We start from the raw sequence: 21,413 nt of genomic DNA, 5'->3' as shown, positions 1-21,413 counted from the left end.
TATCAAAATACCTTAATACCTAAAGGGATGCACTTTTTGAAAAAGGGAAATGAACCAGAAAAGAGGTCTGAGTGTAAATAGGAACGCTGTAATAAATTGGTAAAATGTGAGTAAATTTAAGCAAAAACTGAATATATTTTATAATTATGATGATAATGACAATGACAATAATTATTTGGGGAGTAAGATAAACCAAAGTATTAATGTATTTAATAACAACATTGTGTAAGAGAAGAGGAAGTGATTGGTTAAAGTATTCTGGAGTTTCAGCTTTTTTTTTTTTTCCTTTGGGAAAAGGGTTGTAAATTTTAATAGCTTTAGACAGTGAGGAAAGTATGCAGTTTACATTTTTAGAGTGATTAATAAATGAATAGAAATAGAGGAAATAAGATCAGAAACATTGCAGGAGAAAAAGTGAAATTAAAAAATCAATGAGAAGGCAGTAAAAGGAGTGAAGAGAAATAATGATAATTTTTTAATCACATTTTAAATAAGTGAATAATAATAGTTTATAACAATACTGCATTAGGATAAAAAGAGGCATAACTACAGACAGAAAATATAATGATATTAAATAGTTGAAAATGAAAGGATTACAGGCAACTACTGCTCACCAAAAGAAAGCTTAAATACTTATAGTGTAAAATATATACATAGTACATATACATATATGTGTATACACATAGTACATAGTACATAGAGTATATAACATATAACATTATTAATCATAAGCAAGATAACTAAGTAAAGGTTTATCTCATCAGGAAGAGAAAAGCATGTTAAACTCTTAATTAGTAATATAACCACAAAATATTTAAAACAAAAATTTACATATTTAAAAAACAGGTTGATAAGTTTATCATTATAATGGAATATTTCAGTATTACATTATCAGAAACCAATAAAAGAGCCATCCAAAAGTTTTAAAATTAAAAATGTAAGCAACATAATCAATAAACTTGAGCCAAGAAATTGAACAATTAGGGAATAAGCATTCTCTTTAAGACCAACTGTAATGTTTACAAATATTAACCAATACTAGGCCAAAAGAGTAAGTCTTAATAACATAAGGTGTTGGAATCTTGAGGAGCATTTTTTTTCGGATCACAGTGTAATAGTTATAATCATGAGTAAAAAAGAATTGTTTAAAACATATATTTGGGAATTTGAAAACACTCTTTGAATAATTCTTAGAATAATATTTAAAAACCTATGAAAATTAAAAAAATACTTGGGACTAAGTGATAATGAAAATATCAAAAGTAGTAGTGTACAATTTCTACTTCTGAACAGGATGGAATAATTTGCAGTAGGCTTATGAGCTCACCAAGAACAATTAGGAAAGGCAGATTAAATCGTATTTTTAAAAATATCAGATGTAGAAGCAATGAGGACTGAGAATCTAAAAATCTAGATTTGGGGAAACTTCTCAGAGATGAGCTGAGAATCTGTAGCCAATTTTTCTCTGTAATCATTCGCCAATTCTGGGAGTAGACCAAAGGTTGAGAATCTGGGCTTGGCAGTGGGCCACTGCTAGAGTATAGAGAAATTTCACCAGCAACATTTTTGGTGACTGTGTTAGGCTAGAGTGACATAATTGTCATTCACTCAAAATAACTTTCCTTTTCAAGATATTTGCCTCAATCATATTACCAATTTTCCTTTCAAAATACTTGCCAAATTCTAAAACTAAAGGGAAACTAAATTACTAAGCAAAAAACATCTGATAACCAGAGCTATGAATTTACTAGTCTTGTATTACTGAGGAGATAAACATCTTCAGGATGAGAGCCCCTTAAGAATGTACCAGGTAAGAGGTGACAGCTCTGGAGATTGTGGTGAACTAATGCTGACAGTTTCTAGCCACTTTTTTCTCTTGGGTACACTTGCTTTTTCCGGGTGCAGCAAAAGCAGAAGTCAGCAGACTATGGCCCATGGGCCAAATCTTCTTGTTGCCTATTTTTTAAAATAAAGTTTTATTGGAAAACAGCCTTATTCACTGATTTACATATCATCATGGCTGCTTTCATACTATAATGATTGAGGTGATTAGTTGCATAGAAAAGTCACATACCTCTGCGCTATAGGTGAGAATTTGGGCTTGGCCTCTGATAAAGGGTTACTAACGGGGACAGAGTGATCAGTACAGCTTTTGGCAGTTCAGTGAGGCTGGCATGCCAAATTCTTAAGCTGTGCAGGACAATAGTCCAAAAATGTAAGTCAGAAACCTTTGAAAATTATATTAGAAATCTCTATAGTCTTACTCTCTCTGTGTTGAGACAAAGACCTGCCAGGCTTTCAACTGAAAACCTTGAAGGGCCTCACCATTAGAATAGGGCCACATTAAGGTGTAATGAATTAGTTTTATCAAAATTTTCAGGTGGTCTAAATTCAGCTCAGTCCCTGAATGAGTAAAAGTGATCAGAGTATCACTCTTAACTGCCCAGCAGAGGAACACATGGACCTTCTTAAGTGGAAAATAACACTGTATATAACCTTTCTTAAGTATGCAGTTTCCTACATCCATCAATTAAAAATTACTAGTACACCGTAATCATATACCAAGAGAAAAACAAAACACAGAATATAGAAGCAAACTCAGAAGTGATCCAGAACTTGGAGGTAGTAGACAAAAACTTTAAAATAACTATGTTTAAGATGTTCAAGAAAATAGGAAAAATATTCTTGAAAATAGATGAAAAGGTGGGGAGTTTCACCAGAGCTTATAACTAAAATAATGAACATTCTAATATTGAAAAATATGGTATCTGAAGTTAAGAACTCAATCGATGGCTTAACAGCAAATTGGATACAGAAGATGATAGAATTAGTGAACTTGAAGACAGTACAATAGAAAATATTGAAACTGAAGCACAGAAAAAACAAACAGTACGAGATATGTTAGACACAGAAAAATGGTCCAACATGTGTGTAAATAACATCCCAAACTAGATGACAGATTGAAAATAAGGAAGAACAGACAATATTTAAAGTGATAATAAACATTTTCCTAAACTAATGAAATATATCGGACCACATATTCAGTTAATTCATTGTAAGCAAAATGAATGCAAAGAAAACCACAATTTGCCACATCATAGTCAAAATGCTGAAAAAACATAGAGAACAAACTTAAAAGCCTGACAGAGAAGGAAAGCCTGACATTATCTTTAATACTGACATATTATTACAATCAGAACCATAAAACAATAGAATGACATGTTTAAAGTGGTGAAAGGAAGAAAACTTTTAACCTATCATTCTCTACACAGCAAAAATATCTTACATAAGTGAAGATGAAATCAAAATGTTTTTCAGACAGAGAATTTGTTGCCAATGCACTTGAAATAAAATAAAACTAAATGAAATTCTTCAGCCAGAAATAAAATGATTATAAAGAGAAACAACAAAATTCAGTAAAGAATGAAGAGAGCCAGAATCAGTAAATATATCAATTAAAATAATTGACTATTAATCAGACAAAAAACCCCACCATCTTGTTGAGTTTAAAGTATTCATAGAATTAAAATGTATGACAATAATAAGGTCAAAGGCAGGAGGACAAATGGAGTCAAAGTGTTGTAAGGTACTACTATTATTGAAGAAATGGTAATGTTGAACAGTTTGATTAGACTACCAGGTCCAAGTTGGGTGTTCTAATGTCCAAGGTAATTGTTACGATAATGGTAAAAATACACCTATCAAGTTGATAGCAGAAAAAAAGATGTAATAAAATATTTGGCTGATTCAAAAGAAGAAAAAGGAAATTCAAACAGATGGGAGATAGAAAATAGGTAGTAGTTGTAAATCCAGCTATATCACTTATTACATTAAATGTAATTGGACCAAGTACCCTATTTCAAAGAAAAAAGTCATACTAAATTAAAAACATAACCTAAAAATGTGCTATTTACATGAGACATTTTCAGTATAAGGATATAAAAATCACTTTGGAGGTGGCTAACGTAATATTTAGATTTAGAAAGAAAGTAAGTAAAAGAAATAAATTAAGCCTTCAACTGAAGGATACTCCTTTTTTAATTGTATAAAACATGTACCCTTTCCCAACAAACTGCAAACAAGACAGCAGACTTAGATGGTTTTTACATTTGACATTTATTAACCACTTGAGGTGCTGACATAATATGAACAGAATAAAAAAGCTTCCTACCTCATTTGGTGGAACGAATATAATTCTGAAACCAAAACAAGACAGAGAGAATGAAGAAAATAGAGAGTCAGCCTCACTTGTGATCACAGATGTACAAATCTTAAATAAAATTCAAATTCAGTAATGTATAAAAACATTTCATGACCAAATAGAAATTATCTTAAAATTACAGGAATGATTCAGGATTAGAAAATATACTAGTGTATTTCATCATATCAATACATTAAATGAGAAATATTTTGTAATTATTTCAGTAGATACAGAAAAAACATTTGAATAAAATCATTAATCATAAATGATAATGTTTTTTAAAAAGGCAATGTGGCTTAGACACTGCAGATAAATGGGAGATAATAAAGGGAATGTGTCTAAAGCTAGCAGCAAACTTTATATAGTGTGAAATTATAGAAGCATTTCGATGAAAATCGGGGACAAGATAAGAATACATGCTATAATCCCATCTATTTGTTACTGCACAAAAAGTCTCAACTAATGGAGTAAGGAAAAGAAATAGGAGGTGTGAGGATCAGGAACTCTCCCTTCCTTTTTTTCACAGATGCTATGTAATGGAAAAATCTAAGTGAATCTACCAATATTAAATTTAATAAGAGAGTTTAGTAAGATTGCCAGATAAAAGATCATTACATGGAAATCAATAGTATATATTCCTATATTATTTATATATAATAGATATATGCATGTGTCTATAGATGTATTAATACAAAATAAGCAACAAAAGCTATAAGCCACCCGATTATACATCTTAAAAGATGTACATCTTCTTTATGGAGACAAAATAAAATTAATTATAGATCATAAAGGAACACCTATAAATGGAGAGGTGGAACATGTTTAGGGATGAGAAGAATAAATTATCATATAATTTTATCTAAATTATCTGTAAATAAATACAATTCAATTTCTCTTAAACTTCCAGTATTTAATAAATACCCAACACTATTCTAAGCACTTTGAATTTATTAACTTGTTTAATCCTCAAAGCAGCTGTGGAGTATGTAGTCATTTTATATGTGACTACAGATGTGGAGAGGTTTGTATCTGGTCACACAACTCATAAGTGGAAGTGCTAGCTGTCTGACTCCAGGTATGCTCTCTTAACTATTACTACATTCTGCCTTTCTAGGATTCTTCATGGAACGTAATAAGCTGGCTATCAAATTCATGTGGACTAGTAAAGGAAGAAAAAGCCAAAGCCATTTGGATGACTAAGGAGTATGAACAGTAGTGGTGGGAGAGGCATTTAGTCTGTCTGACACCAGCATTTTCTATTTTAAAGTTGTGATGATTCAGATAATGTGATATTGGTTCAGATTAGGTAAATAAATATACAACATATTATAAAGCCCCCACAGACTCATGCATAACGATATATGTGTGATAGATATGGTTTTACTTGGAGGAAAGGATAGGTAAGTCAAAAAATTCTACGTTGAAGCAATTGGTTTGCCATGGAGAAACAAAATTAGATTTCCCCTTTACACTGTACGTAAAAACAAAATACAAATGGATTAAAGATAAAAATGCAAAAAGAAAACATCAGAATTATTGCAGAATGTCTTTTTTTTTTTTTTTTTTTTTTTTTTTTTGCTTAGGAGTAGGGAAAGGTGTCACACTACCCAAATCACAGCTAATAGAAAAAGATTGTCAAAGATTAACGAAATAGAATATCATATATAGCAAAAAAAAAAAAAAAAGACAATGCAAACAAAGTTAAAAGAGAAGAAAAAGTGTGGTGACGTTATTTGTAACATCTATTTCAAAGAATTTCTGTCTAGATTATCGAAATAACGCCACATATTAATTTTTTAAAAGACAAACCAAATAGAAGAAAAAAGAAATACAGTTTAAGAAGAGGAAAAGACTCATGTTAGTGATCACCTAAAGGTGATTTTAGAAGGGAAATGGACATTAAAACAATGAGATACTATTTCTTATAAAAATTTAAGTGGTGATGATGAAAGGAAATAGGAACTTAATGCATTTCTGGTGGCAGTATAAATTGATACAGTCATTTTGGATAGCAATTTACTTGTTTCTAGCAAAATTTAAAATGTACATAACTTATGACCCAGCAAGTCCACTTCTAAATAATTATTCTAATGTATAGGTTGGGCAACTTTTTCTGTAAAGGGCCAGATAGTAAATATTTATTTATTTATTTATTTATTTTTATTTTTTATTTTTCCTTTTAATTACATTTATTTTAATGCTGAATTTACTCCCGTGCCATAAGTTTTTGTTTCTTCAGTTTCTTCTGGGATATCTTTTTCTTCTGGGCAACCTCCTCTTCTGGTTTAGGAACAATCTGTTCCTTTTCCGTAAGGATCATCTCAATGTGGCAGGGAGAGCTCATGTATGGGTTAATCCGACCATGAGCTCTGTAGGTCCGGCGGCGCATCTTAGGTGCTTTGTTCACTTGGATATGCTCAATGACCAGAGAATCTACATCTAAACCCTTAAGTTCAGCATTACTCTCTGTGTTTTTAAGCATGTGCAGCAAAAATTCAGCACTCTTTTTGGGCCACCGACCTTGTGTCCAGCCCCACTGCTTGGCCTGCGCACACCTGCCAACTCCACCATTGTAACGTCGGAATGGTACACACTGTTTCTGTAAAGTGACATCTTTCAGATACTTCGTGGCTTTTTGTATATGCATACCCTTGATGGCCTGAGCAGTTTCACGAGTGTTCTTAAAGTGAACACGAAGATTGGAACCTCTTGATTTGCATGATTTCGTGGGGTTCTCCGGGTCAAGTGAGTAGCGAACCATTTTCACAGATTACCTCAGGCTGCTTAGGGAAAGAGCTAGATAGTAAATATTTAAAGCATTTGTAGGTCATAGGCCATATGGTCTCAGTTGTAAATATGCAGCTCTGCTGTTATAGTGCAACACTGAAATTCAAATTTTGTGTAATTTTCACTAGTCATGAAATGTTATTTTTCTTTAGACTTATTTTTTCTAACCATTCAAAAACATAAAAGCCATTCTTAGCTAACAGGACATACAGAAACAGGTGACAGGTCACATTTGAGCTCACATTTGAATGAAAAAAGCTAGTGGCTGAATTACACTGTATAATTTATTAATGAAATGATTTGTAGATATTCTATATATATTTCATGTGTATATAAATATGTGTGTAAAAGCAAAATAAAATGACTGGAACAATATACATTAACTCCTGATAGATTTAGTAGAGTTCAGAGTAAGTGCTCAATGATTTTGACAAGTTTTTTCTCTGACATCCCCCAGAACTCTACACTACTATTTTAGAATTGCCTTTGACTCTACACAGATAGTTCCTTGTGCATTCAGGTTAGCTGGTTGTGTGAACTTCTGGAAAGCCTGCCTATAATTTTTACCATACAAGAAGTTACTTTTAAAGTCTCTCAAATGAGAAAAAGAGTTTATTTTTCTGGGATTTTATTATATCAGCTTTACTGAGTTGCTTGGCAGGTCTTCTTATTTAACTGGTGTGTGCATTTTTATACTACATTGGAAACTGACAGTAAATAAGATGTGTATCAACAGTTGGGCCATAAATTAGTGTAACCTTAGTTCTCTTTGGACTTAACTTGCTGTTCTCTGCCTCATATTATGTCTTTTTTCCCTGGCTTACCATCTTTCTTGTGCTTCTTTAAAGTAGCTTTTAACTGAAGTTCTATTTTCATATCTTCTCTCACAAGTTTTTAGTTTGATAATTAGAAAAATAGTGATGCAGGGAGTTTGGAGGGGATCTCATTTTGAGGGAAATAATGTATTAAATTGTTTTCTCATTGCTGTATAATCTGTTTTCACAAAAATAATCTTTAGTGACTCTTGGGACCTTTCTGAATTTGTAATAGCATTTTGTGTTTGTCTCCATTGACCAATAAACTTCAGTTTTCTTCACTCGGAGTGTCTTTAAATTTTCAGGTTTATCAATTATATCTTGTACAATATGTGTTATCTATTATATAACTATATGAACATTTAAAAATGCAGTTTAGGAGTGTGAACTTTTCTATCCTTTTTTCCAAAGATTGTAAGAAGAAATTAATTTGATTTCTCTATTATTTCCTTTTAGTTTCAAGTGCTTCTTTGAGCTGTCATTTTCAAAACAGGTTATACTAACTATTGGGCTACCTTCCTATTTTTGGTATGTGTAGAGAATTTCTTCCTAATGATTTTGGATTACTCTAGATGATGTGTCTTTAATTATTTATTGATATTCTTAATTTTTAGTTTGTTTCTAGCATAGCACAGTGTCTCTGCTTTCTTGTTCGTTTTGTTGGCTTTATTTCCAGTGTTTGGAAAGATGCTTTGGCCTTCTACCTGAAATAAACTATGTAATTTTATGTTTATTTATTTGTGATGGGGTCTCACTATGTAACCCAGGCTGGTATCTAATTCCTAGGCTCAAATGATCCTTCCTCCTCAATCTCCCACGTAGCTGGGACTATAGGAACATGCCATCATACCTGGCTGTATGTTATTTTATACGTGAATTGTCTGATCTCAGTGTGGCACTATAGAATATAAACTTTACTCTTTCTGAGTTAGAGAGAACCTTCTGTGTGGACACAGTAAATAATTTTACAGTGTTATTTTAGGAGTACTTGGATAGCACAGAAGAGAAAGATTTTTCAGGCACTGGATAAACATGAAAGAGAAAAAGGATACAGAAAGCACAGGGGGATTGTAAAGACTAACTTCATAGGCTTCATAATTTGCCAGGAGTATTTTATTTATGCAGAGGATTTGGACAGTATTTTAATTGTCTTTTCATTTGAGATGGTAGTATGACTCTATTGGAGTCAAAATCCTATTATAAAGTAAGCAAATACCATGTGTTGTCTTCTACAAAATCTCTATTTAAAAAAATAGTAAAGCAAAATAAGGAATGCACAGCTTTTTCCATGTAGAAATTATTCCCTTATTAAGTTATTTAAGTAGATTTTCTTAGTGAAGGACCTTGGAAAGAGATCATGGAAAAAGAACATTCTTTTAGGGGGGCTTCTGAAATGACTCAAAATGTTAAGTAAAAGGAACACTTGGATGACTTTAAGAAAAGAGAACTTTACCATTTTACAGGAGAAAAGTTCCAGGTTCCTTTAGGATGGCTGCCACATGTAAATTGAAATTAATATTTGTAGTTTTCTCATTCTGAATTATATATGGTTTGTCAGAGACCTGACTAATAATGATTTGCAAGATGGGGCTTAGAATGTATGGATGACCTTAAGGTGACAATCTTGGGAAACCATGAATTCTGGGATAATGGAAGACACCTTGCAAAGGACAGAGTGGGGCTGTGGTGTCCCTTGGAGTCGTGGTGGTGAAAGGAAAGAAGAAAGCAGCTGAAGATAAGGGCACTATGGGAACAAGATGATTTTTTTTTTAAGACAAATCTTGTCCCTCCCACCACAAAAAGTGCCACTTATTAAAGCAACTACACTTCAGTGAAGCCACAGAAGAGGGTGCTGTTGAACTGAGAAACCTAGTAAGTCAGCTTACCTCCGTTCACCCTCCATTGCAAGATAACTTGTTACTGCTCATTCTAAAAAAGCCAATACAAATAATCCTCAACAGAAAAAGAAGCCAGCACCTTTACAAAGTCACAGTAAGTATAAAACAAAATTAAAATCAAATCTTCTTAGTAAATTACACACACACAGAATGAAAGCACAAATAAAAAGGGAAGAAATCAAAGAAAAATTACAAAACAGGAAAACTGAAATGAAACATCTGAACACGAATAACCTATATTAAACAAGCAATTGCATTATGAAAGGACACCATGAATCAGACATTCAAAAACTCACAGTTGAAATGGACAAACAGGAAGATATGTGAAACAGCAGCTGACTGAACTCGGGAAAGTAAATGGTGAAAAAAGACAAAAATCATCTCAGAAATGAAAAGTAAATCACAAGGTAGACAAGGGAAGATAGATATTCCAAAAGTTCAATAAAAGACGTAAAGAATGGAAAGAGCCAAGAAAATAATCTGCAATAAGAGAAATAAAAAGGATCAGAAAGAGAATTTTCCATATATTTAGTTCAACACCTTGAACTAGGAAACAAGTGGAAAATTAACAGATATGGTATTTAAAGTTATAATAAAACTTTTTTTGAAATAAAATGAGATCTGAATTTCCATATTGAAAGGACTCCTGTTTCCTGTATACCTGGGAAACTTGATTTATAACAATCAACTTTTAAGATATAGTATTAGACCTTAAAACAAAAGGGAAAATAAAAGCTGCCTGAGCTTCTAAGCCAATAAATTAGTAATTTAAAAATTAAAAGTAATTAAAAATGAAAATAATTAACATAGAACCAATTTAGCATCACACTTCTTGATATCAAAATAAAGCAAGAAAGCAATGGACATGTGTTTTTAAGAAATTATAAAAATGAGTAATCATTTTAATTGATTATGAAACACTGGATAAGTAAAATACTCATATATCCACAGTGATACTCAAGATTACTTGTGAATTGCATTTGGAAAAAGTGCTGCTGTTATTAAGAAACATTTCAGACATATCCTTGGTTGATAAACATTTTGCTGAAATATTTAGATGTGAACTGTCATGGTATCTGCAGCTCACTTTTAAATGTTTCCGTGAAAATAATATAAAAAATACAGAAACATGTTTGGAATTTTTCATAACAGCTACATGGCATTTTAAAAAGTTATTCAAAACAAGTTGCCAGATTTCAAATATTTTTGTATACCTAAAGAATATCTTTTATATTGAGTAAGAGACATTTTGTGAGAAAAAAATGTATTTCATCTTGTTTTAGATTTTTGGAAGAGCCAATGAAGAGTGACTTTGTCATATTTCTTTTATACTCTTAGAATTAATGTCAGTGATTTAATTTTTATTTTTTCAGAAGATATTTATTAAAACTGCTGGTGCCTTAACAGGAATCAAGGCACTGGAATCAAACTGCACAAGTGGTCACTGTATTCTTCCCACCATTGACCACAGTAGAAAAGAAACAAACAAAAATACATCATTTGCACTTAAGAATGTCCTTGATAAGGAAGGAAAAATATTGAGTTGTTCGCTTTTTTATTCTTGAGTTGTATTTATGCATTCTTAATACAAGTCCCTTTTTGGTTATATGATTTGCAAAAAGTTTCTCCCATTCTGTAGACTGTTTTTTCATTCTGATTGTGTCCTTTGAAACAAAGGAGTCTTGAAATTTGATGATGTCTATACAGTTTGTCTGCTTTTTCTTTTGTTGCTGCGTGTGTGTGTTTTTTTTTTTGTTGTTTGTTTGTTTTGAGACTCTTGCTCTGTCTCCCAGGCTGGAGTGCAGTGGCGCAGTCTTGGCTCACTGCAACCTCCATCTCCCGGGTTCAAGCAGTTCTCCTGCCTCAGCCTCCCAAGCAGCTGGGACTACAGGTGCGCACCACCATGCCTGGCTAATTTTTGTATTTTTAGTAGAGACGAGGTTTCACTGTGTTGGCCAGGCTGGTCTCGAATTCCTGACTTCAAGAGATGCACCCGCCTCGGCCTCCCAAAGTGCTGGGATTACAGGCGTGAGCCACTGTGCCTGGCCTGTATGTGTTTTTTATACATAATGTAAATAAACTTTTAAAAGATACACTGTGAAATGCTTTAAAGCAAGTTGTGTTTTTTTTTGGTCAATGAGTATTTACTTTAGTTTATTTTTTAATTGAGGTAAAAATATCTAATGCTAATAGATATTAGTTTGCTAGGGTTGCCATAACAAAATACCAGAGACTGGATGGCTTAAACAACATAAATGTATTTCCTCACAGTCTGGAGGCTAGATGATGTCAGCAGGATTGATTTCTCCTAAGGTCTCTCTCCTTGACGTGTAGATGGCCATTTTCCTCTAGTGTCTTCATGTGATCTTTACTGTCTCGGTGTCCTGCGCTCCTCCTCTTATAAAGATACCAGTCATATTTGAGTAGGATCAACCCTAATGACCTCATGTAAGCTAATTACTACTTTAAAGACCCTGTCTACAAATACAGTCACGTTCTAAGGTACTGGTGGTTAGGCTTCAAAATGTGAATTTTGGAGTTTGTTGAAGGGCACAATTCAGCCCATAACAAATACATAACATAAAACGTATCATTTTAATCATTTTTCAGTATACACTTTAGTGGCATTAAATACATTTATATTATTGTGTAACTATCATCCCCCCATCCATCTCCAGAACTTTTTTCATCTTGCGAACGGAACCTCTATCTGTTAAACAATTACTCCCCAGTGTCCCCTCCTCCCAGCTCCTGGCAGCCACCATTCTGCTTTCTGTCTCTGTGAAACATGTTTTGAGGCAGTTTTTTTTTTCCATCATTAGTGAGAATCTTCAGAGTTCTCTCAAATTAAGCTAGTTATTTTTATGCAAATTCTGCAAGATATCCACAAACTTTTACCTAGATAAGAGGTTCTTGAAGCTCTTAAATCATATGAAAATTTTGTCTTTTTTTGTATATCTGCCTTTTTCATGGGAGAGATTCTAGAGTTCTCATTAGATTCCTTAACTGAAGCCCTAGAGACTTAGCCAATCTTGTTTCATTTATTTTTCAAGATAATTAAAGTTTAGTAATTTTTAAGTTGATAAGCTGATGTGTAATTCACAGAAAAGGCAAAAGGAAGTTTAAATGTTTTTAGGTTTTATTGTCTTGAAATCAAATGTTTACTTGCTATTTCTGAAAGGGTCAGTAATTTTAAAAATCATTATACTACATTTTCTTCATTTGAAAAGTTTTTAAATTTACTGTTTCATATTGTCCTAGATATGGATTATATCAGCTTTGTATCTCATTGTACATGTAGATATTAGAAATATTGTCTATATAAAATAACCTCTCAGAATTATTTTTATTTCATTTTATTCATATATTTATTATTCAGTCAATAAACATTTGAGTCTTTTTGATAAATATTAGATATACAAAGAAGAAGACATGGGTTTCATCTTCAAGGAAGTGAAAATAATATACCTAGATGGCGATAAACAAATTAATATATTAAAAAGAAGAATAAATAAAGAAGAGAATTGTTGGTTGGTCCAAACAGATATAACAGCACGGGGAAACTGAGAGACTCCTGGAGGTGCAAGTCCCAATGGGGTTTGGCCAGTAGTTAAATATAACTAAAACAGTAGACTGTTAAATAGAGAAAGGGTTGCTGGAGATGAGGCTTGAGTTTGGTTGGAGCCAGGTTTTGAAGACCTTTAAGTGCTATGAAAGAAACACCCTCTTTTGGACAGAGAATTCTGAAACATTTTTGTCTCAGAGAAAGACAGGATCTGAGAACATTAAGTGATGCTAGCTCATTTTATTGCATAGTTACTTAATGTAGTCTGAATACTTCTATAGTCATTTAAAATTTTTCAATGGTAGTGTTTCAAAGATTATTGATAAATACTGATTATTTCAAAAAAAATCTATGCATTTTACTATATTTCATATTTGACATATTTAAATATTTGCTATATTTCAAAATAGTATTTGCCTTAGCTCTGTGTTTTTAAATTATCTTTTCCAGCTATAAGGAAGACCAGATGGATGAGAAACTAATGGAACCTCTGAAATATGCTGAACAACTTCCTGTAGCTCAGATAATACACCAGGTTTGCATTTCATTTTATTCTTTTGAAAGAAACAAGATTTTTAATCGCTGAGAAGTAATTGCTTTTGTTAGGTTTTTCAGAATCAATGTGCTATAGCTGAAAGGCATTCTGGGCTGTCTATCCCTATTTAGACTACCCCTATTACAGTTGAAAGTCCCATTCAAAGCACAATATTAAAAGGCTACTTGCTGTTTAACACTAGAATTCTTACTTACATAAAATATGGGATAAAATAAGGATTATCTTTTGTGCATTATTTAATTATAAAATTTAATTTCAGAAAACTTTCATTTTGACCCATTGTGTATAGTACTTAGTGACAAGGAAAAAGAGCTGCAAAAATATCATTGAGAGTAATTTTTTGGAGTCACTAAAAAGAGAAAACAATCTTGCCCTGCATCCTTTACCCTGCCCAATCATCAACCCTTGCAAAGTATAATTCTGCATGTCATGTGGGCAATTTGTTCATTTCCAATTATAATGATTTTATCATCCGTTCTACATAACTGTAATCATTGAGAAGGCAGTGTTGTAAGCATGTAAGCTTAGACTTTGTACTATAATTTGACAGCATATAACCTCTGCCCTGCTGTGCCAGAATCTAATAATTTTAAATGTTCTGTTGACTAGAGTTATAGCCTTTAGACCTAGCAGAGATTTCAGAAACTTACATATTATAGTAAATATTTAAAGCCCTTAAATGGCAGAGTTTCTCAGAATTGTTATGAATGTTGATTGTTATTGTGAGTTTTTCCATATGCCTTTTTCCATCAAAATAATTTTTATTTAGCTGATATGTATTGATTAGAAGTGCCAGTTAGAACTTTATTAAAAGAAACAGAGGCTTTTACTTTAAAATGTTGGCTATATATATTTTTCATTGACATTAAAATTTAATATTGCAATTCTGTGAGAAATTACAAAAAATGATCAGAAATTTACACCTTTGGGAAGCTCGTCTGTGCTTGGTAATCAGGTCCAGTTTATATGTCAGGAATTCCCTAGTGTTGTCAGAGCTTAAATGACCTAACAGTCTGCGAATGTCACATTTAAAATTCTGTCTTCATGCCTGACTCTCAGCATAAATGAATTAAACAGCAGAGCAGGCAGCAAGTCAATATGTTCTTAACAGTAAGAGTGAGCGATGAAACAGTTTGTGGTTTGCTCAGAATTGGTAAATAGAATCTGCCCAGAACAGTTCACCTAGAATAAAATCTGAAAGAGGAAACAAGAATTAACCTTTAAGATGGTTGACCAGATGAAATGTCAGTAATATTTTTATAGCATGGATGAACCAATAAACTACCTGGTTTATGTAACAGCTGCATTTGACTGTTATACACTGTGTGAATTCCAAGATAAAAAATTTTTGACCCTGGTGAAAATTTTAGATTGTGATTTTTTTGGCAGTACAAGAGACTTTGTTAATTTTAACACTGAATTACAAACATTATATTAAAATTCAGTAGCACTTGATTTTACTAAATACCTATCTTTAAGAAATTTTACACAATAGGAATTTATGTATTTTATTTTTATTGAATAAAATGAATTCTGTTCTCAGTTAAAGAATAGTCAGGACAGGTCATTGTTAATAGCAGACTCTTCATTTATTCCTTTTGTTATTTCCCTTTTTTGACAGTACTACAACTTAAGGACTGTTACCATTAGCCGGTCCAACTGGTCTTTTAGAAACATAAGAGTTACGTTGCCAGAAATTAACTGATAAGTCCGTTATTTAAAAGCAAATTTTGGCCGGGCACGTGGTATCCCATGCCTATAATCCCAGCCCTTTGGGAGGCTGAGGTGGATGGATCACTTGAGCCCAGGAGTTCAGGACCAGCCCGGGCAACATAACAAAACCCTATGTCTACAAGTAATACAGAAAATTAGCTGGGCTTAGTGGTGCGTGCCTGTAGTCCCACCTACTCGGGAGGCTGAGGTGGGACTATCTCCTGGGCCTGGGATCCAGATTGAGGCTACAGTGAGCTGAGATTGTGGCACTGCACTCCAGTCTGGGTGACAGAGTGAGACCCTGTCTTGATAAATAAATGAATGCATGCAACTTTTTTCCTAAGAGAACAGTAATACATGTGATAATTAGGTTAGCTAGTTTCACAAAAGCTTTTTGATCTATATCTAAATTATAGCATTATTGTAGTGTATAATCTCCCCCTGTAACTATTTTCATGAGAAATAATCTTATACTTTACCTACACCTGTTTAGGAGCTCATGTCATTTCTATTTAAAATAGAGTTACTTATTTTTATGTCTTATATATCCTATTTTATCATCTTTCTGGACAGTCTCAGTTTCTTGATATTTCTTTTAGCATCTTGCTTTGTACTATGTATACATATCTCTAAATGGATAGATAACGTATAGATAAATGGATAGATAACGTATTTTTAATGGTATGTTGAAAGCCAGGACCACCTCTTTTCCCTACTACCCAGGCACCAGAAGCCAAGGACTCTCACTAGTAGCACAACTTAGAAGCTGCAGGAGAGATGGAGGCTTTCAAAGCAGGGACAGAGGCTGAAACAGAAGGAGAAACTTGAGAAACAGAAGAGAGAGGAATGAGCATCAGTCATTTCAGTAATTCATTTATTGTGTGTGATATTTAAACTGCTTTTTACAATCAGGAGATAGGATTCTCACTACTACCATTTTATGCTGTCAAATTATTTACCATTTTTCTAGCCATCCTAGAAAATATGACTGTATACCTAGGAAACCCAGGAGACTCAAGTTATGAACAATAAAATTAATAAGAGAATGTGATGAGATAGCCAAATAAAATTGGCTTCTTAAATAAAATTGATAGCTTCTCTGCATTTGCAGTAAACACACAGAAATGAAAATGGGAAAATTTTTCTGTCACAGCAGTGAAGAGAACTATAAAATAATTACAATTAGATTTAACAAGTAAACCATAGACCTGTATAATAAGAATCATGGAAAGTACTATGTTTCAGAAACAGAAAGACATACCAAATAAACAACATGATGAAAGTATAAGTGTAAATTCTCCCAATTTAGCAATTCTAATTAGAGTAGAAACAAGTTTTTCTTTTTTAATGTTAGGAAAAAATGACCACATGATTTATGTAGAAGACCAAATGTCCAAGAATAACCAAAGAAAGTATGTAAGAGAGGCACTGGTTTTACCGGATATCAGAATATTAGCCTAACGCAGCTGTAATCAGATAAATATTATATGGACAAAGGAATAGACAAGAGGATCAGTGGAACACATGGAGGAGTGAATTTCAAACTTTATGGATTCCAATTCATGATAAGAAATATTTATATGCGTAATAACTTTTGATGTGTAGGGTGGTTCTGTCTCTCACAGTCCACTGACTCAAATGTTAATCTCCTTTAGCAACACCCCCACAGACACACCCAGGAACAATACTTTGCATCCTTCAGTCCAATCAAGTGGACACTCAGTACTAACCATCACAAACCTAGATACCCTAATACGTATATGGTTTATATAAATGATAAAGGTGACATCACAGATCAATGGGAAATTAAAAGATCATTCAATAAATTATGCTGAGAGAGTTGATTAACTACTGGAGGGGGATACTATGTTCTTGCATCATAATACATGGAAAAGTACATTCCAATAGGATTAAAGCTTAATGCAAAAAATGCGAAATGGCAAAACAATTAGAAAAGTATGTTGGCAAAATTTTTGGATGAGAACTTTCTAAGCATGAAAATTGTGGCAAAAACTACAAAGGAAAATTGATATATTTGACTTTGTAAAAATGTTAAATTTCTATACATCGAAATGAAAAGGCAAACCAGCCTGGGCAACAGAGTGAAACCCCATCTCTACAAAAAAACCATAAATTAACCAGGCATGGTGATGGGCACTTGTAATCATAGCTACTCAGGAGGATGAGGCAGGAGGATACCCTGAGCCCAGGAGTTTTTGAGGTTACAGTGAGCTGCGATCACGCCACTGTACTCCAGCCTGGGCAACAGAGTGAGATCCTGTCTCAAAAAGAAAGAAAGAAAAGAAAAGGCAGATATCAAAGTGGAAAAATATTTTCCTCATGGAATTAACACCTTCATATATAAAGAGCTCTTACAGAATGACAAAAAACTGAACAGCCTAATGAACTTACATAGACTCACACAGACATGCCTCAAAAGTTGAAATAGCAGAGCATAATAAACTGATAAAAAACATGTTGATGTTCATTAATGATGTTAGAATTGTTTATTTTTATCAGAAAGTTTCATTTTTTTTTAACTTCAAGCAAATATATGAAAAGTAGTAATACTCAGTGATGCCTGAGGCAGTGATACTACTGGAGGAGAGTATAAATTGGCATAAATTGAGGACACTGTGGTAATTGGTACCAACATTTGCAAGTATGTTTATAAATTAGTTAAGCATGACAGGTTGAAGACATATTTTTATGCTTTACCCTCCTGAAGAACACTACTAAAATGAAAACAAAGACATAAAAATAGATAAACCCCAAAAGACAAAGAAAATGGAAAAGAGAATGACAGATGAGAGTGGTAACACAATTTGGAAGGAGGAAAGTAGTTGGATAAATGATAACCAATTTAGCAGAGTGGAAAAGCTGAGCCCTAACTTCCATCACACAGGAGCCCTATAAGAACCAGCCAGTTTATACTGCAGAACTCTGGGAAGGTAGGTACCAGGCACCTCAGAGATTGGGTGCAAAGAGAAACACCCTCTTGTCTTCCTCCAAAGTGTCTTCCTCCTGTTTAGCTTTCAGAACACTGGAATTTAGGCTTATATTTTATTAGCAGAAGATTGAGGAATTCCTCCCCGAAGATACCAGTCAAACCAGAAAGCAATGGAGTGATGTCTTCAAAATTATGTGAGAAAATCATTTCCAACTTAAGGTTCTGTTCATTTCCAAATTATGGTTTAAGTATCATAAAATAGGAAAGACATTCCAAGTCTCAATAGATAATTTTTCTTATTCATCCTTTGTCAAGAAGCTACTTGAGATATGATTCATTAAATGAAAGAGCAAACCAAAAATCCTGAGGGGAAATTATCCAAGGCATAAGAGATTGTGCCATCATGGTGAGATGCTAGTGAAATTCTCAAGTTTATGGTGAAGTGCATCCTGAGGTGACAATTGTGTAGAAGTTTAAAGAGTAAAGAGTACAAATTGGAGCAAGACAATGAAGGACTCCAAGATGGGTGTCTGCAGTCAGTGGAATGGTGGCAAATTATCTAATGTGTCTGACCATGCTAAAAGAAGTTTTAAAGTTGAGTAGATTTAGTTAGAGCAACAGAAAATTAAGTGAACAGGGTAATGAAGCAACTAGTAGTTTCAGTAGTAAAAGTTACGTTAATACAAGAAAAGATATATTATCAATATTTTATGTCTCAATAGTTACATAGTTATAATTATGAAACAATTATTTAACAAAAATGTGTGATGGTAAGTATGATGACTCGACTGTTAATATGATTACTCGACTGTACTATGCTATGAAAGGCATCAGCAGCATGGTGTGAACTCAGTAAACTAAGTACTGAACTTAAACATCCCAGGAGTCTCTCTGTTCTTGGTCCTGATGACTATTATTTCTGTTGTGACACTAAGTTTATCTTTAGTATCTCAGCTTCTTATATTAAGCAAGCATACACACACACACACACGCGCACACACACACACACACACACACACACACACACAGAGACACATTTAAACAGCTTGTTTAGAAACCTTTTGGTAGATGCTTGCCTGCTGGGGTTTAAGATGTGTGAGAAATTCGGCCAGGCACGGTGGCTCACGCCTGTAATCCCAGCACTTTGGGAGGCTGAGGTGGGCGAATCACGAGGTCAGGAGATCGAGACCATCCTGGCTAACATGGTGAAACCCCGTCTCTACTAAAAACACAAAAAAAATTAGCCGGGCGTGGTGGTGGGCGCCTGTAGTCCCAGCTACTTGGGAGGCTGAGGCAGGAGAATGGTGTGAACCCGGGAGGTGGAGCTTTCAGTGAGCCGAGATCGTGCCACTGCTCTCCAGCCTGGGCGACAGAGCGAGACTCTGTCTCAAAAAAAAAAGAGAAAGATGTGTGAGAGATTCAATTCTGGGAGTCACCATTATGAGTCAATTTTATCTTCATGAATTTAGGTCCCTCCACTAAGGCAGAGGCTCCGTGTAAACAAAGCCATAAACCCATGTATGCTTTAAAAAACTTTAACTTACTCAAATGTTATATATCAGTGAATACCTTGTCTTGGTGGAGAAATATCTATTGTTTTCCCCACTGTGTTCTTAACCATCTTCTAGGCTTTCTCTGGTTCCCCCTATTTCAGATACAAGACCTCCTACAAATCCTTTAATATTTTGATAAGATTAATACGTTGCAAGATTTCTATTTTTAATGCCCCTCTGCACACTGTACATGATGGTGGTACAGTATCACCTTACTATTCTCTTTTTTTAAGATAAGCTGCACAAAAGATTAGAGCTATGTATCCATTACAGATTTAGTTTCTTGGAGAGAAGTACTGGGGTCTCCTGCAAGACTCTTGCTTAAAACATAGAAGATTATCTTGCAAAGTCTTGTTTCATCTGTTCTTTGTTACTCCTTTTTAGTCCTAGAGGTATTTTTTTCCAGTGTAACCAGTTCATACAGTATCCTGGTGTGTCCGTTGTTGCTCTTTGGGAGTATTCTAGGTATTTGGATGGGACAGTTCTTTCATTGTGCAGGACTGATCTGTGCATCGCAGGATGTTTGGCATCCCTTCTCCTTCCAAATACTGGTTGCCAATAGCACTGCTTAGTCATTGTGATGCTAAAAAAAAAAAAATGCCCTCACCTTTTCTGAACTCCTCCCCGCCTGTGGAACACAGTACCACCTCAGGTTGAGGACCAATACAGGTAATTTGAATTATTTGCAGTCTCTGCCCATACACAAACATTTTATTTGTATAATTAGCCTCTTACTCTTGTAATTGGGATATTTCAAAATATATATAGTTGAGAATCTCTTCTCACTTTTCTGCATCCTGAAATGTTGTCCCGGGCTCTGTAATTCTAGCTCTTTACATTATATGACATGGATTGTGGTAATTTTTCAATTCTTCTGTTTTTGTTTATCATTACTCTTCATGTTGTTCCACTGTTGCAATTTTGGCATTTTAGTGTTTTTCCATTACAGTAATACCTACCCCATTACAGCTAAACTTTACTAAAGGTTGACTGAAATGTCTATCAAGTAGAAATCTCTGCCACCTTGTTTTAAAAAATGTGCCTATTGAATTATCAATATCTGGAAACTCATCAAAAGGATGCTGAATCCCTAGCACTCTGTCTGCCTCAGGACTGACTTATATTGCTTTAAAATCTTGTAGCGCTTTCCCTAACCATAGCAACTTTAAAACTGATGTCTAGTGAAAAATAATACATTTTTCATTTATTTTTATTCAAGTGATAAGGCAAGTAATGAAAACTAAACTTTTTGAAGGTCATGGGCTAATCTCTTAATATCAGATATGTTTTTAAATTAATATAAATTAACCTCAGCTTTCATATTATAACTTATTACAGCCACTTCCAAAAATGTCACTTATCAAGGAATAAATGC

General features: G+C 33.7%; 1 protein-coding gene and 1 pseudogene across 1 annotated transcript in view; one reads left to right on the top strand and one right to left on the bottom strand.

Annotated features, from left to right (window-relative positions):
* PIGK (phosphatidylinositol glycan anchor biosynthesis class K) overlaps window positions 1-21,413 on the top strand; it is a 130,442-nt gene that overhangs the window by 83,355 nt on the left and 25,674 nt on the right. Inside the window, exon 10 of the mRNA NM_005482.3 lies at window positions 13,717-13,801. Within this exon, the coding sequence (NP_005473.1) occupies window positions 13,717-13,801 (85 nt within the window). The remainder of the gene's footprint in view (window positions 1-13,716; window positions 13,802-21,413) is intronic.
* On the bottom strand, window positions 6,373-6,983 carry RPL17P6 (ribosomal protein L17 pseudogene 6; annotated as a pseudogene).

Source organism: Homo sapiens, chromosome 1 (genome assembly GCF_000001405.40).
Source record: "Homo sapiens chromosome 1, GRCh38.p14 Primary Assembly".
Taxonomy (NCBI): Eukaryota; Metazoa; Chordata; class Mammalia; order Primates; family Hominidae; genus Homo; species Homo sapiens.
The sequence above is the reverse complement of the archived record's forward strand: the minus strand, read 5'-3'. Positions and strand labels throughout refer to the sequence as shown.